Source organism: Homo sapiens, chromosome 8 (genome assembly GCF_000001405.40).
Source record: "Homo sapiens chromosome 8, GRCh38.p14 Primary Assembly".
Lineage (NCBI taxonomy): Eukaryota > Metazoa > Chordata > Mammalia > Primates > Hominidae > Homo > Homo sapiens.
The window spans coordinates 108,868,542-108,887,440 of record NC_000008.11 but is presented as its reverse complement, the minus strand read 5'-3'; the positions used below and the strand labels follow the sequence as shown (position 1 = coordinate 108,887,440).

The window sequence follows — 18,899 nt, the reverse complement described above, 5'->3', positions numbered from 1 at the left end:
ACTCTTATGCTTCAACCCATCCTGAAGAAGAAAGAAGAGGCTTAATGTCACAGGTTTTCGTCCACATAGATTTTCTAGGCCTTTCCTATAAATCATTTCAGATTTTTATGTGGGCCTGGAGGCTTTGCACAGAACTTGATAGTGCATGTTTTTAAAGTCCAGATGCGGGTTTTGGTGTTTGCATTCCACTCATTTCAATGATCTCATTTTGTTTATATCCACCAGGGGTTCCTGTAAGAGCTCTTTGAGGTGGCTCTGCACTGTCCAGCTTAGAGGTCAGAGTGATCAGTCAATTGCTAGGAGATTGGACTCTTGCCGTAAGTGTTAGGTCGGGAATTGCTGTAATTTCTCACCAGGTGGAATTTCCCAAAGGTGAACTTGATATCAGAAAATGCAAGAGATACAAAGATGTAAAGAAAAGGCAGCATCCCTCAAAAAGATTTATCCTGATGAGAGGACAGAACTAAAAGGGAATTTTGTTGCAGATTAGCACTTCTTAACTCCTTTGGCTTGGGCTTTCAAATTCAATAACCATTTCAGAAAGATTGAAAAGAACATCTAGCCTGTAATCTCAGCACTTTGGGAGGCCAAGGCAGGAGGGCCACTTGAACCCAGAAGTTCAAGACCAGCCTGGGCAACATAATGAGACCCTGTCTCTATGAGAGATTTTTAAAAAATAGCCTGGCATGGTTGCAGACACCTGTAGTCCCAGCTTATCAGGATGCTGAAGTGGGAGAATTGCTTGAGCCTAGGAGTTTGAGGCTGCGGTGAGCTATGATTGTGCCACTGCATTTCAGCCTGGGTGATTAAGACCCTGTCTCCAAAAGAAAGAAATGAAAAGAAAAGAAAAAGGAAAAGGAAACACAGAAAGAAAAAGAAAAGAGCATGCACCTACAAAAATGTTTCCTTGGGCATTTGAGAAAGAGTGAGCTACGAAAATGAAATATTTTAGGAGAGGTCTAATATGGTGAAACAAACTCACTTGGAAAACAATTCAGGCAGCAATGTTAAGCCAAAAGGAAAGAAAGAATGGTCTTTGACAGCAAAACTGGTCTCAAGAAGCTTACTGCAGTTCCTGCCTGAAGCCAATCACCATTCTACAACTCCTGCCTGTGGTCCAGAATCTTCCACTTTCTAGATCACACTTTCTCTCTGTCCCCATAGTGATGCTTCTGTTGTTTTTTCCGTATAGAATGACAAATAACTATTTGTATGATTGGTTCTTACATTAAACTGTGAATTCCTTTTATCCTGGCAATTACATTCCTGGAGAATTTACAACTCCTCACAATTACCATAGGAGATGGCTAAAACTATTTCTTTCACTTATTTGTTTGCATATTTTCTTCCCCTTACCTCACTAAACTGTAGGCAACACAGTGCCGAGATCACATCTATTTGGTTCGCTGCTGTATTCCCAGGGACTAAAATAGTGTCTAGCAGGGAGTAAGTAAACATCACTTAAATGGATACATGATCAGGAGAATCATTAACCCAATTTCTTGCAAGATCATATGGCACATATGCAGCAAAGAAAGATTTGAACCCAGTTTTGTCTGACACCAAAGGTCAGTTGTGCTCAACCTCTGTATCAATTAATGACTGAAACCCTCTCAAAATCCCAAAGCCATTAACTGATCAATCAAACAATCAATGTTCATCAAGCTTACTTGATACGTAGGCAGAGAAAAAGTTGTAACTGTCACAGCACACATTGCTGTGACTACCATATTTTCAGCATGGTCTTCAGATCTCTAGACCTGAAATGCCCAGAGTATTTAGGGCATACTCTTAATAGTCAATATTTATTGAGTGCTTAATAAGTACCAGAATTATTTTAAGAGTTTGAGATATTTTCTGGTGCAATGCTTACACTATGCTTTTTGAGTGAGGTAAATACTATTATTATTATTATAGATGATGCAACGAAACACAGAGAGTTTAAGTAATTGCACTACTTCTCATACTGAGAGGGGTACAGCTAAGATCTGAACCCAGACAATCTGTCTTCCAATTATGCTCTTAACTATGATATACTGCCTTTCTAAGAATTTGAAGTTTTGAGGGGGTCAGGGAGAGTAGTTAGTTTCATCTTTGCAAAGTCTACTTTTTATTTTCAGTGCCTGAAACAATCCTGGTAATATTAGGTGCTCATTAAGTATTTATAGAATGGATGGATGAATGAATATGACTAGCTATTGTCTTATACGAAGATCACAAACTTAAGAAGATGGAACTCAGTGGAAACGTGGGAAGTCCTGAGCTTTGAACCATACCCCAGGATAGTGAGAACTTAAGGGGAGCACGTAAGAAGAGGGAAGACTCTGCAGACATGGAAAGGGTGAGAGAGGCTCCTGAAAAGGCAAAACAAGTAAATAAATGAGGTCAAAAGGACTACCACAATCTCCAGATTTACTAATAATGTCCCTTTCAGTGAACTTATATAATTTCCTCTAAGACCAGCTTGGTGGCAAAAACATCGCTAGGGAATCCACCTGGCTCTGTTTCTTCAGCTTTTGACAGATGCCACGGCTGACACATGAGGACCATGGATCTCTTCATGTACACCTTTGTGACAACTTTCCATTATTTCCAAAAGTATGGGGACCACATAATTTACTGTACAAATGTGGACATCTGGTCACTCCACTAAAAATCATCTTTCGAGTGTCTATAAGTCACCATGTTAGGCAACTATAGCAATAGGCCAGGCTTGAGAACATGCATAACTACAATTTGGCTTTTCATTTCAGAGAAGAAAGAAAGGGATGGTTTTAGAAAATATTAGGACAAAAAATCATCAACAGATCTTGATAACTGACAGGATATAAGGTAAGAGAAAACAGAGTCAATGAGTTGGACTAACTCAAAACAATGATGGTTAAATATTATAAAAATTCAATAGAGGGAGTTGTCAGGGGGGAAGGATAATGGTGAGAAAAGATGATGAATTCAGTTTTCAAGATATTGGATTTTTGGAGATAAAATGACATCCAGATGGAAATACCTAAATACGACTTTAAAATATTGTAGATGTGGTTTTTAAGTCCTCTTATTGGAGGTGATTTGTGAAAACTTGAGAGAATTTATTTAAACCTTATTTATGGATTCTGATGTTCTTTGCATTAGGGGAGAAATTGAGAGTAGAAAGAAGAATGACGAGGTTTACGCTCTCCTGAGGAAGGACCCTCAAGAGAGGACCTTATGAACACAATTAGCTACTGAAAAAGACTTGGAAAAAATTATGGCACAATGAAGAAAATAATCTTCAAGGCTCAGTGGAAGAAAAAGAAGAGAGGAGGTCTCAGAGAGGTAATTCATGAAGTGAGCATCAAAGCATGGAATAACTAATTGTGTTAAAGACAAATGTGCCAGCATGGAGCTAAATTCGGAGAAAAAAAAAGTAATGTCAAAAAGAATGTGGCGGACAGGCATGGTGACTCACATCTGTAATCCCAGCACTTTGGGAGGCCGAGGTAGGAGGATTGCCTGATATCAGGAGTTTGAGACCAGCCTGACCAACATGGAGAAACCCACTCATGGTGGTGCATGCCTGTAGTCCCAGCTACTCAGGAGGCTGAGGCAGGAGAATCGCTTCAACCCAGGAGGCGGAGGTTGCAGTGAGCCAAGATGGGGCCACTGCAATTCCAGCCTGCGTGACAGAGCAAGACTGTCTCACAAAAAAAAAAAAAAAGAAAGAAAGAAAGAATGTGGCAATCAATTTTACCTGGGAGGAGGGAGGAGTAAGGGAGGCTCTGGTGATGCATCTCGAAGAAGAGGGTAATTAAAATTGTATTCAGAATTGCATTCAGAGGACCTTTCTATTTTATTAATTGCCATATCCCTGGTTGTGAATATCACATAATTATATAAATTGAATCTTTTTCTTTATGTGTTGACCTGGAAATATGACCATGATTTTAAATGACAAAAGCAACAGACAGAGTATGCCAGGAACTATTGGCAGATCTTTTAAAAATAAATTAGGGGCTTTGTAAGCCATTTGCTATGTTACAATTTTTTGTTCATTTGTGAAGATATGAGCTTGCTAGACAGTCACTGAAAGTGTTTGATATATAGCAAGATATGGGACACTCTATTTCCACATGGTAATTCATATGTAATGTAACAAGGGTAATGAAACCAAACATGGGAACTTCTCTGGCCTTTACCTCTGTTGTGAATGAAGTCATGAGTCATTCTTACATGCAATGCTCCTTTATACTAACGTCTACCAGAGACTGGAGGGAAATCTGCTTAGTGTCTCCCATGAGAAAGTTTGTGATTGGCTAACATCACCATCAATTATCTGGGAATAAAGGGGGATACAGTCACTTCAAGAGAGAGAAACAAGTCGGACCCATATGTTTGATTATCAAAAACTGTTTTCTTCTTTATCTCCTGGAGTTGAGGGTTGGGGATAAGGGATGGTCTTCAAATCACTGATTATTATTATGAGACTCTGATTCTAAAACATTTATGAAGGACAAAACATCCAAGAAAAGTCAAGGACTTCTTGCAGAAAGGGGCTATAGTGGGGGGATTTTCTCTATTAGACATCATGTTTATATAAAGCAATAATAACTAGGACAGTGCAACACTGGCACAAAAACAAGAAAATTGACAAAAAATGAAATAGAGTTTAGAAACAGACCGACATCTATAGAATTTTGATATATGCAGAGGTAACATGGCAGACTCTGAGAAAATGAAGGCCCTAATAAATAATACTGGAAAAACATATTCATGTAGAAAAAGATTATTTTTAAAAAATATTTTCTCATTTTAAACATAATATATGAATTATTCTATAAAAAAGATGCGACATATAAAACTAAAATTTTATTCAGCTACTACCTTCAGTGCTAACACAGATGCCCTTTTTCCTTGGACAATAATAACAACTAATACTTATTTAGTTTGAAATAAAAATTTTGCTGAGATACCATGAGACTAAAAGTACCACATTTCAAAGGAGATGCTGGACCACATGCAAAATGTGTAAGCAAGACACCAAGAAACCTAACACCAAGTTAAGTGACTCTTATCCCTTTACTCAACAATGGTATAAAAATATTAAGAGTTAGAATGAGAAGGTTTCTTTAGAGAAATCTACATATTGATTCTGAAGAAAGAGTGCTGAAGGATCTTGTTCTCTGAAACTGAAAAAAGGGGGTTTTTTGAAGCTCAGTATGTGTCTCATGTAATGCAGTGGACAGGGGTCTGAGTCACACTAAGAAAATCTAATGGCCAGGGCTGCCTGGCTGCTTTGACAATGTGTAAAAGAGAGGTGATGACTTTGGGGCCACACAGCATTTACAGACTGTTCTGGGGCAAGAAATGGGCATTTCTCAAAGAACAAATATGGGACACACATAAGACAGAGCTGATCAGAGCAATTATCTTACTTTCTATCAGGACGAACAGACCTCAACATTTTATTTTTATCTTACATTCCATATTTTATGTAGTATTTTATATCTTATTGAGTTATCTAAATGAATTATCTTATTGGTGCTAATGGTCTGTCATTACTCTCTTTGGTTATCTACAGATATAGTCATTGGTGAACGGAAAGAGAGAAATGTGAACATGTTTTTATTATGATGAAGATGTAGAAAGTTTTCTTTTTCCAGGTTGGCAAGTTCTAAATATCAAATCTGTGTTTTAATATTACATTAATATTTTCCTATTTTATTTTGTATTATTTACTGGGGTATGGGGAGGATAGGAAATAATTATTTGCAAAGTTTCTGGCATCAGCCAGAATATGTATACATGCATTCAAAATCCTCATTTTTACTCCATAAATTAAGTATCATTAACAATTTAGTTGATATAACCTGTTGGTTTGCTGTACCTGAACCAATATTTTTTACTTTTACTAAAACAAAGAAAAAAATGGAAAAAAATTTAAAGGAAATTTAGCGTATCAATTGTATTTTTCAAAAGATTCTCTCATGAGATTTATCTGATTTTTGAGTTTTCCTAGTACATTTTAAATATGACTTAATTAACCAAAAAGAATGTATTTAGACACAGAGACCACATTTAATGAGTAAAATAGATGTTACTATGGTTCAGAAAAACAAATTAATTGGCCTGGATCAAGGTTTCCTAGAAACTTATCTTCTAGAGTTCAAGATTGGAATCAAATTTGTTCAAAAGACTAATTCAGCTGGCATGTAAACACATACCCTCATCGATTCTAGAGAAGAGACAAATACACATTGTTGCAGATACTTTCAGCTGCCTGCCCAATAGTCATGTTTTTCTTCCTTATATAACCCTAGGGAGAATGCCTTGATGATAAACTAAATTTCCCAGCCTTCTTGCATACCTGAAATTTAAATGAATTCAAACCTCATTGAGTGGGGCTTCCAGGAAGGTCACGTTGTCCTCTTCTACTACCCTACTTCTAAGCTGGAGCTCAAGCAGAAATCTAGGTCAATGAGGGAAGGTGACAGTGGAAACACATACCACATGGATTAGTCAGCTTGGGCTGCCAAAACAAAATACTGTAGACTGAGTGGCATAAACAACAGGAATTTATTTCTCACAGTACAGGAGACCAGGAAGTTCAAGATTAAGGTACCAGCCAATTCAGTTTCCTGGTGAAGGCCCCCTTCCTAGCTTGTAGATGGCTGCCCTCTCTTTAGGTCCTCTCTACAGCCTTTGCTGGGTTCCTGCATGTGGAGAAAGAATGCAAGCTCTCTATTGTCTTTTCTTATGGGGCACTAAGTCCATCATGAGGTCCTTACCCTCTAACCTCATCTAACTCTAATTGCCTCCCAAAGGTGCCATCTCCAAATACCATCACTTTGGGGGTTGGGGGGTCAATATACAAGTTTGTGGGGGACACAGATATTTAGTCCATAACACTAAGATTGCCAGCACAGAAAGATAGAAGGAATATGGGGCCCTGGTGACTTTGGAGCTGCCATGTCAGCCTCAGAACACCTGACTCTTGATTTCTACTACTAGAGAGAAAAATAAACTTTTGTTATGTATATGCCACTGTTATTTCCAGTCTCTGACATAGCAACTGAATGCAAATCCTAACTGACAGAGACAAACATGCTATGTAATAAAGAAAAAGGTATTTTGTGGCAGATGTCACAAATTGTATATAAATACATGCACAAACACACACATTACATTCAATAATGTAATGTACACACATAATATGTATACATAATATGTAATAATGTAATGTACACACATATACATAGATACACACATACACATGCCATATAATATATATGGTATTCCTCACACACACACATATATATTTATATACATATATACAAATTATTTTGTATGTCCCCTGAAATTGTTAGGATGGACAAACTTGACCTAGTCACCCAATTGTAATTGCTGTGGAATATTTGCTGTGCTGAAGTGACAAGTGCTATTCCAATTTTTCGGCCATGCCACTAGTAATGCTCATTTTAAAAACATATAAATAAAATGATTTTATTTTTCATGTGTTCAGCCTTAGGAAGGAAATCATTTAAATTTGGTCAGTGGAAAAATGCAGATTGCCATTTTTATTTACTTTTTAAAATAAGTGAACTAGGGATTTCAAATTATAATTTCCACAGGAGTAGAACCTAAGGGAAAAAACAGTGTTTAAAACAAGGGATAATAATTTGCCACATCTTTGGATGGTCACACTTTATTTTGAAAGGGTGATATTAGAATTACTTTCCATTCTTTCTCCATTTGTCAGGCTATATTTTACTTGGATTATATCAGTAGAATTATATTTTTAGTTAAAACTCTTTCAAAGCAAATTGCATTTAATTAGAAAATAAGTGAAGGAAGCATGTCACACTTAGTGATTTGAGGCCACTTCAGTCATCAGAATGTGAAAATCATTTCTCCAGATGGCAGCTTCCTGCTTAGCTGAGACCATGATAACCACAGTAGATTTTTTTTTTTTTTTTTGAGACGGAGTCTCGCTCTGTCGCCCAGGCCGGACTGCGGACTGCAGTGGCGCAATCTCGGCTCACTGCAAGCTCCGCTTCCCGGGTTCACGCCATTCTCCTGCCTCAGCCTCCCGAGTAGCTGGGACTACAGGCGCCCGCCACCGCGCCCGGCTAATTTTTTGTATTTTTAGTAGAGGCGGGGTTTCACCTTGTTAGCCAGGATGGTCTCGATCTCCTGACCTCATGATCCACCCGCCTCGGCCTCCCAAAGTGCTGGGATTACAGGCGTGAGCCACCGCGCCCGGCCCACAGTAGATTTTTTTTGAAAATCATATTTACTTATATGTGTGTAATTAATTTTTAATTGCATGAATTATTGACAAAAATAAAGTCAAACACCAAGGAATTATATTTATAAAGAAAAAGGCATCAGTGATCTCCTTTGGGAAGCATTTTTCAAGGCAAAATATCATGGTGTTGACCTTCACCTTTTTTAGGTTGACAAGTGGTGATTAACTACATAAAAGCATAGTTCCATGTAATGCAATTTGAAAATGTAGCAGGGCTTAAAGGCCGGTGGAAATAATGTATCAAGACTTCTAAGTTTTAGCAAACAATTTTCTTATGTTAATAGGCAATAGATATTTTCTATGTGTGTAAGAGAAATAAAGAAGAATGTACTGGCAGTTTTAAAAAGTATTGCTTTAGATTTAGCCTTTTAAAATAACCACTAACTGCCAAGAATTATGCTGGGTGCTCAGATTACAAGGTTGGGTGAAACAGGAAGTGATTTCTGCCCTCAAAGAAACAAGATAGACAATCACCTAGTCATATATTTATATAGTTCTATCACTTTTTGAAACAAAATGCAGGCAGTTGTGAGAGCATATCTTAGACAGATCCAATGTATTATTATTATTTTATTTATTTATTCATTTTTTTGAGATGGAGTCTCGCTCCTGTTGCCCAGGCTGGAGTGCAATGGTGCGATCTCGGCTCACTGCAACCTCCACCTCCCATGTTCAAGCAATTCTCCTGCCTCAGCCTCCAGAGTAGCTGGGATTTCAGGCAACCGCCACCACGCCCAGCTAATTTTTGTATTTTTAGTAGAGACAGGGTTTTGCCATGTTGGCCAGGCTGGTCTTGAACTCCTGATCTCACATGATCCACCAGCCTCGGCCTCCCAAAGTGCTGGGATTACAGGCCTGAGCCACCGCACTGGGCCAAGAGATCCAATGTATTCTAAGGGATCAAAGGAGACTTCATTTTAGGTGTAACATTGAAATAAAATCTCAAGTGTGACTAGGGATTAACTGGGCAAAAGTGGGAAAGAACTAAGAGGAGGCCTATGTGGCTGTATGTCAAAAAGCAAAGGGGAAAAAAGGCCCAAGATTATTCTAGAGAGATCATATACGGCATTTAGCTTGGGTTAGGGTCTTTATTCTAGGAATACAAGAAAATCTCCAGCATTTTAAGCAGAAATGTGAAATAATTGGATTTACATTTTAAATGATTACCCTAGCTGTGGTATAGACCCTACCCACTACAAAGCATTGAATGGAAGAGGCCAAATGCAGACCTAGTGAAATCATAAAGAAAAACATTGATGGATTTCCTTGTGAATAAAAGAAAATTGGCCAGGCGCGGTGGCTCACACCTGTAATCCCGGCACTTTGGGAGGCTGAGGCGGGTGGATCGCCTGAAGTCAGGAGTTCGAGACCAGCCTGGCCAACATAGTGAAACCCCATCTCTACTAAAAATATAAAAAATTAACTAGGCATGGTGGCAGGTGCCTGTAATCCCAGCTACTAGGGAGTCTGAGGCAGGAGAATTGCTTGAACCCAGGAGGCGGAGGCTGCAGTGAGCCGAGATCATGCCATTGCACTTCAGCCTCGGCAACAAGAGTGAAACTCTGCCTCAAAAAAAAAAGGAAAAGAAAATTAATCCCAAACATTATATTTTATTCAGACACTCCTCCTGTCTCCCTAGGTATAGAAATAAAGCTTCATATAGTGTACACAAAAACAGTATAATCAAAGGAACTAGAGGAAAACAGTCTTTAAAGAATGATAATAAGACCTCACAACAGACTTCTTGTCAGCAAAGTAGATGTGTGAAGAAAATAGAATATTTTTAAACTACTGAATCAAAATACTGATCAATGTTGAATTCTATGGGAACTATGATTCAAAAGTGAATGTAAACTAAAGGTCATTTCTAACATACTATGAGAGTTTTTATACTTGCATATACTTACTGAAAGAACTAAAGAATGTATATTTCAGCAAGAAGGAATTAAGCTAGAAGAAAGGGGCTGAATGTAAGAAGCAATGATAAGTAAAGAAACTGAGAAAGATATTAACAGATCTGAACAATGTAAACATAGTATTATGGATGATAAAAGAAAAACTTCAGCTGAATTAAATTTAAAGGAGTTTACTTGAGCAATGAACAGGCAGCCACCAGAATCACAGCAGATTCACAGAGACCCCAACGGTGCCTCACGGTCAGAACAAATTTATAGACAAAAAAGGTAAAGTGACATACAGGAATTGGAAGTGAGGTACAGAAACAGTGAGATTGGTTACAGCTCGGTATTTGCCTTATTTGAACGCAGTTTGAACATTCAGCAGTCTATAAGTGGTTGAAGTATAGCCGCTGAGACTGGCCAACACTCAGCTATTGTTACAGGTGCTACTTACTACAAAGTTAGGTTTTCGGTTTTGTTTGACTATTAAGCTAGGTTACAGTTCATCCACAAGGACTCAAATATAGAAGTACAGAGTCCTTCTCTGGCCATGTTTAGTTTGCTTTAACAGGGATTTAAAAACAAAGTAAAGTACAACTAAAGACAATAGTAATATTTTTAAGACAGAGAAGGGTGGTCATATTTGTGGAATTTAAGATCCTTTTTTATAAAGGATGAATGCAGAACTATAGACAAAATTAAGATATATTGACAGTGGTTATGATTTGAATTACTCCCCTTCAAAATTCAGGTGTTGTCAATGTGATAGTATTAAGAGGTGAGGCCTTTAAGAGGTGATTAGGCCATGAGAGCTCCTCCTCCATTAATGGGATTAAGGCCATTTTAAAAGAGGCTTTAGGCAGCAGTCTTTGGCTAGCTTGTCCTTCTTCCTTCTGCCATATTGAGAAAACTGTAGCAAAAGGCCCTTACCAGACAAAACCTGCTGGCACCTTAATCTCGGACTTCCCAGCCTCCAGAACTGTGAGAAATAAATTTCTGTTCTTTATAAATTACTCATTCTCAGAAATTTTATTATAGCAACACAAAATGGACTAAGACAATATTTAAGTGAAGTCTGTATGTTAGAAATGTAAGGATTATCACAAAATAGTAGAAATAACATGGATAATATCCCAAATGAATTTAAGGCAAAGAGAAGAAAAAATCAAAACTTGGCAAATCCAAAAGAAAGTAGAAAATAAGACCAAAAAAAAGCAAAAAAAAAAGTGTAAATAGGAAACTTAATACGAGACCAAAAAGTAATCAAGAATCACAAAGAATATAAATAGAAGATTATATACAGATTACTTAAAAAGCTCTCACGATTTCTCCAACACTTCAACCTCAACCCACATAATGGATTTATCATTGTAATGGCTGGTTTGAGCAGGAGGCCTGGCTCAACTTTGTGGAGCTGGTATTTCATTTTTCAGAGAGTGAATTTAGAAAGCCTTGGATATGCTTCTGGTTAAAAGGCTTCCATACTTCAGTGGCAAAAAGTGAAATGTATATTTTTTGCTTATAGTTTAGATTTTAATGGGATTATGTCAATTTTTTATAATTTTCTGTAGACTAAATCACACCCTAAAACATATGGGCATAATTTCACAATTTCTTCTCCTTAGTGAAATCTCTTTGCAGAACAGATATAATTGACCTAATATTTCAGAGAGTCTCTAAATATATAAGAATGGAGTCAGCATACAAGATTTTCAAATCCCCTGAGGAGGGGAGAAGTGGCTCTTATATCAGGTGGATGGACATGCAGAGATCATTAGTGGTTTCATGGTACCTTTTTGTTTAGTAACTGTACTTCCTATTTATCTGCAATCTTATCACTGAGAAAGTTTATAAAGCTTCAAAGTACCTGCTCATTTATATTGCCCTATTCTCTATAAGAGGTCCTAAATTCTCTTCTGATTCACATGATATGATAGTGTCTTCTGGGTCAGATGAAATCAATCTTGCTACTCGGTCCCTAGCTATTTTCACCAGGTTTTGGTACATGATCTGAAAGAATGTTTATAATGTCTGAAGGTAAGATAGGTCAGGTGTCCCTGAGACTCCAGTTAAATGGTAACAACTTGGCCAATCACATTGTTTCTTCTCATTAGGGTAAAGTTAATAGATAAAGTAGGATGAGGAGAAGAAAGAGCAGTTGTCTTTCCAAACAATGCTTAGCCATTGTTCTGGTACTCATTATGGCTGTTGTACATCTCAGTCTTGCATGGTCTGAGTGCAATGTAACATTCCTGTACATGCTACCCTATGGGGAGAATTCCTAACATAAACCTACTAAAGGTAATTTGTGTGTAATTTTTCCTTGCGACCCTAAGGATCCTGAAAATTCCAATCAGGAAAACATATCTAGGGAAGGGATATGAGTCAGGGAAATTCCAGCCTTGAATATTGTAAACCAAGACTGGAGCATATTTTAGAATGCCAGATTGATATGGTTTGGCTCTGTGTTCCCACCCAAATCTCACCTTGAATTGCAATACTCCCCACCTGTCAAGGGCAGACCCAGATGGAGATAATTGAATCATGGGGGCAGTTTCCCCCATGTTGTTCTCATGATAGTGAGTTCTCATGAGATCTAATGGTTTTATAAGGTGCTTTCCCCTTCACTCGGCTCTCATTCTCTCTTCAGCTGCCCTGTGAACAGGTGCCTTCTGCCATGATCATAAGTTTCCAAGTCCTCTCCAGCCACGTGAAACTGTGAGTCAATTAAACCTCTTTTCTTTTACCCAGTCTTGGGGAGTTCTTTAAAGCAATGTGAGAACAGACTACTACACAGGTGTTGGAGCAGGTGTCTCTAGGTCTCTAAGATCAGAACAAGGCTTGCAGCAAGATGGTCTTAACTTGGAACAAAAAACCTAATTTCTTTCCTCTGCCTGCAACCAGAGGGAGATACCTCATAATGGGATTGTTTCAGGGACAAGTAGCCTTTGGGAGTAAAGAGCCAGTGCAGAATATGCCCAAAATATTCCTTTAGAGGTGGCTTTCTCTAAGTTTTAGAGAAGCATTATTTTGCCTCTTTTCATAGCACTGACGCAGAGTTACTAAATGTATTTTTTCTCAAGTTGTTAGAAATGAGTCATAAAATAAATGACTTGTGTTTGACTTTCAAGTGTTTCTAGCACCAAGCATTAGCAGTAAATGAAATCCTTCTAATATTTTCTATGGGTGGAAATGTGTCAGATTCCCATGGCTTTTAGGTTAAACTAGAGTCAATTTAAATTTAGTATGTTTCATCACATATAAAGCAAGTTTACTCAGCAACTATCAAGCATGTGTCAAGGTGTTATCTGAAAGTCAGAAAATTCACTTTGTGCTTCATAAATAAGTACAGGTGAATTACTTCCCTCCTCTATCTCTTTAAAACAAATGTATTTTGTTGAATGCCTTGGGCATTCAGCCCAGAATGACAGAACACAGAATGTTTTAATTGAAAAAAAAAAAAAAAACCTAAGAGATCAGCTAGTGTAATCCATTAATTTTACAAAGGAGGAAAGCAAGGCACAGAGGTAGGTTTCTCTCTTGGGGATCACACAAAAAGCTAGTAGCCTAAATACTGGTCTCATGACACCCATTCCCATGGTCTTTGAACCATAAAATTATTCTGCTGTCAGTAGCATTAAATGTTTCCTCTCCACCGATGCTGAGGATGTAAATTCCCCACAAAAACGGAATTGATGTGATCTTTTTCCTGCTTCAGGAATGTTTTCCAGGTTTGTTCTCCCACTTACCCCTTCATGTCTCATTCCTTTCTATGGATATCTGAAAATTTGTCCAGTTGCCTGGCTATAGGGTACAGTCTATTTCCCAGTCCCTGCGGAAGGAGGACCTATTGGATGGGCTGCCCTGGCTTTGCATTAGGTCTCTCCCTACAGGCTTCTTCTCCCTTGGGCTCTCCCATTTCAGCCTTATTTATTTCAGCTCTGAAACAGGTGATGTTGCACCACTGTACCAGATCCTGCTCACTCTCAGGACCTTGAATTTTGAGACTGTTCCTAGATTCAGCTCAGCCTAATATCCTGGGATAATCAGGGAAGTCTTACTTATGTCCATATCAGTACTTGATGAGCCATCTGAAGCCTGTGTTCTTTCTTCAGTAGAATAGTACTACTTAAATAATCTTTAAAATATTTAGAATACGAAGAATTTTGAAAAGAAACAAAGCCATCCATACTCTTCTATTTTGAGACAGAGTGTTGGTCACCCAGGCTGGACTGCAGTGGTGTAATCACGGCTCACTGCAGCCTCAACCTCCGGGGCACAAGTGATTCTCCCATCATGGCCTCCAGAGTAGTTAGAACTATAGGTGCATGCCACCACACCCAAATGATTTTTTTGTATTGTTTTAGAGACAGGGTCTTGCCATTTTGCCCAGGCTGGTCTTGAAATCCAGGACTTAAGCGATCGACCCACCTTTGCCAGAGTGCAAAGGTAATCCCTTTGCACTTACTGTATTTCAAGACCTTGGCTAGGTTTGCAAGATAAAGCAGGAAAAAGTAAAGAAAAGGCCCTAAATTGTGAAATTTACAGTCTGAAGAACCAGACTGTAAATGGGCGATTATAATACAGGATAATGGAAGAGAAGGGAAGAGAGTGTGCTGTAAAACCAGGGCATCAAACTTGGGTACTCAAGGAAGCCTATCTCAATGAAATAATATCTTAGCTGAGGCCTGAAGGACGTAAAAGATTTAATCAGATAAAACAGTGAAGTGGGGAAGTGCTTCAGGTAGAGGGTACAGCTTTGGCAAGGCTCTAAGGTGTAAGAGAATAGTCTGTGTGAAGAAATAAAAGAAGTTCAGTATGTCTGAAGTATAGAATGGAGGGCAGTTAATGGAAACAGTTTGAGTGAGTATTCTGGTGTGAGATCTTGCAGAGCCTTATAAACCACAGAGGAGAGTTGGGGCTTAGTTCCAGGAGTGATGGTGTGCTTTTATAGGGTGTTAAGCACTGGGGTGACATGATCCAATTTGCCTCAAAAGAATCAGTTTGGCTACAATGTGATGGGTGGATGGGATGGAGACAAATCCAGAAGCAGAAATGCCATTTTATGGATGTTTGAATAATTGAGGCAAGAGATAATTTTGATCTAGAAAAGAGTCAAGCCTGCAATGATAGAGAGAAAAAGACATATTCAATAAATTTTTAGAAGGTAAAATAAATTTAATTCTACAATTCCTTCTGGAGGCTTCTTGTTTCTCTTTCTTTTATCAATAATTCTCTCCTCCATGCCACGCTGCCTTTCACATGGCTGGAAACTTCAGCTCTCAGCTTCATGTCATCTTCTCAGAGAGGACTTTCCTGACCACCCTATTTAAAATGTCTCCGTCCTCACTCTCTCAGAGTACTGATTTTATTCCTTCATAAAAGAATCAAAACGTGACTATTTTATTTATTTGCAATGATATAATTAGTGTCTGCTTTCCTTGCTAGACAATAAGCTTCATGAATTCAGGTACCATGTTTATTTTTTTCCATATGGAATACCCAGGGTCTGACTAGTTTCTGGCATACAGCAGGTGCTGAATAAATTTGCTGAACATGAATGTGGGCGGCAGATTGAAGATTCAAGGACGCCCAGATGTCTGGTTTGAATACCATTAACTGAGAGAGAGAACTCTACAAAAGGAACAGGTTTGGAGGGATATAAGATATGCTCAGTTTTGGACATGTTGATTTTGAGGTGCTGTGAGATTTCATAGCAGAAATGTCTATCAGGAAACTGAAAACAGATCTGGGGTTTAGGAAGGAGATCTAAACTGGAGATACATCGCCAGAAATAGCTATATTTCAGAGCTTTGCTCAATATTTATATGTTTTTTGCAGTAGAGAATCATACATAACTTGATTTTTCCAACTTAAATGTATATCTTGAAGCTTTCCATGTTCTTTAATATTCTTTTACATTATTTTCATGATTGAATAATGTTCCATTGGGCAATTGTCTCATAGTTATTTAACTAATTGTCTTTCATTGGATATTTAGATTGCTAACAGCTTTTGTCATTGAGTGTAATCTGTAATGGACAGTCTTCAGCTAAGACATGGTTCTCACTAGTGAGTAATTCTTGAAAAGTGTTTTCTAGAAGTGGAATGGCTAAATAAATGAACATACAAAATTTTATGGTTTCATACTGTAGCAGGATAATATTTTCGATGTATAGATTTATCCTTCTACTTAAAATCCACTTATTTGCCTTCCTTCCTTGCCTGCTTCACACTTCATTCAAGCTACTTGGCTATGGCACCCAAAGAAATAATGTGTTTGTATCTGAAAACAAAGAAAAAAAAGGAATGCTAGCTTTTTTTGTTAAAAGCCTGAAGCCTTAGGGAGACAAATGATTCTTGGCAAAGGGGAAGGAGAAGAGATGGAGGGGAATTTCACCACTTCATTACAATTAGAACTTGGTATAGAAATAAGTTGAATATATATATATATATACGCATATATATATACACACATATATATATGCGTATATATACGCATATATACGCATACATATACACATATATACGCATATATATATGCATATATATGCATATATATACGCATATATGTGCATATATATACACACATATATATATCTTGAACCCTACTCTTGCAGACTGATATTGATACTCTTATTAGTGCCTATTGCCAAATTATGAGAATATTTTTAGTCCATAAATTTAGAAGACTTTGTACCCAAAGACCTAGGTTATATTTTAGAATTAGTTTGTATTTTTAAAAATTAAAATCTGAATCAAAATTTAAAAATCTAATAACATTAATTATTTTATTCATTTTAAAATAAATCACAAGTCTAATAACAATCAAATTTTATTTGATAGTTCACAGATTCTCTAATGTGATGTATTCTCAAACATTTCAAATATCTTAAGTAACAACAAAAAAATCACAATAATTATTTCAATTTTTCTCAGAAGCTGAAAAGTATTAATAACATGGATTTGGTATGCTTTTTCTTTATCTCTATGTTTATTTTACACCTCCTCAGGATTATATAAATATTTATCCCCATATATTGTCCACCAGTAGTTCCATGCAACTTGGAACAAACTGAATTGAGACATAGAATTTGAGGAAATCCTCCCTCATCACCTAATAAGATGAAGTATTTCTTAGAGACTTACAGTAATCAAACTTTTGAAATCCATGCATTTTCTTACAAATAACTACTTCATATTTTTTTAAATCAGCTTTATTGAGGTATAATTTACAAAAAAACAAAATGTGCCCATTTCAAGTGTCAAATTTGATTGTTTTCACAAATATATACAGTATATATAAAGTATATATTATATGTATATATAGTAAATACATATTATATGTAGTAATATATACTGTATATATAGTAGATACATACTGTGTATATAGTAAATATATATACTATATTTCACAAATATCTATATACAAAAATATATATATACACACCACTTACAGTCATGACTGTAAAACATATTCATCATCTTGAAAGGTTTTCTTGTGCCTCCTTAAAGTCAATCTCTTTCCTTTGTCCTGCCTGCTAGAAGTCAGTAATCTGCTTCTGTCACTACAAACCTGTGCCTTTTCTAGAATTTCATAGAAATGAAATCATACAGAATACAGTCATATGTGTTTAGCTTTATTCCCTTGCTTAATGCTCTTTAGATTTATCTAACTTGCACATATCAGCAGTTTGTCTTTATATTGATCGGTAGTATTTCACTGAATGGATATACCACGATTTTTAAATTGATCCTTCAGTTAATGGGCATTTGAGTTGCTTCCAGTTTTCTTTTTTACTATTATGAATAATGTCGCTATGGTCACTGAACTATAAGCCTTTGTATCAACATACAGAATGTTTTTATTTATCCTGAGTAAATACATGGGATTATAGTTTCTTCTTGTGTGGTAAGTGTATATTTCACTGTAAAAAAATACCAAACTATTTCCTATGTGGCGGTATCATTTTGTATTCCTACTGTCAATGTTGGAGAGTTCCAATTGCATCCTTACCAACAGTTGGTCTTTGTCCAAAATTTGTACTGATTGTATGATGCTGCTATCTGGTGTCTTCATTTTTGAAAATTACATATCAATATTTCAAACATACTGGCAGTAACAGTACTGCTTAGGAAATACAAGTACCAGGGTGTTGGATCAAAGTCCCTTACTCCCTTACATTCAATAAGAACATTCCTCAAGATACACCACTACAGTATCAGTACAGAATAGAGTTATATGAAGCAATTTGCAGGAGTTCTGACATAGCTGCAGAAGTAATTCCCACTGAATAAAGTGATTTAATTAGAATTAGGGAGCTCTGTTTGTTCCTTCACTTAGGTTTGAGGTGTCTGAGTTCAAATATAAGTCAGTGAATTTTTCTCCATTGTACTCCATCCTATAATTTCTTAATTAATAAGACCAGCTAGTGATAATCTCTTGTCTTAGAGCATTTTTCTTCTCCATTTGTCAAGTTATTGTGTAGATTTCTGTAATCTGTATATTTGTGTGGTCTACTTCTGCTAGAAATAAAAGAAGACAGAAGCTCAGCTGTAGTGTGCCGTCTGTCTGAAAATGTTCATGTTTATAGACAGATGCTATACACCATAAGATACCCAGACCTCTCCAAAAGCTAAAGTAAGACCTCCAAAGTCAAATTCTGGATGGAGGTTGCATTTTTAGGCCCTTTAAGCTCATCTTCTTGGGCCATGGTTTG

General features: G+C 37.0%; 1 long non-coding RNA gene across 1 annotated transcript in view; it reads left to right on the top strand.

Annotated features, from left to right (window-relative positions):
• Nucleotides 1-17,427, top strand: part of LOC101927413 (uncharacterized) — a 78,895-nt gene extending 61,468 nt beyond the window's left edge. Inside the window, exons 5-6 of the long non-coding RNA NR_188035.1 lie at nt 12,830-12,897; nt 15,711-17,427. This is a non-coding gene — a long non-coding RNA (uncharacterized LOC101927413). The remainder of the gene's footprint in view (nt 1-12,829; nt 12,898-15,710) is intronic.
• The last annotated feature ends 1,472 nt before the right edge of the window (nt 17,428-18,899 follow it).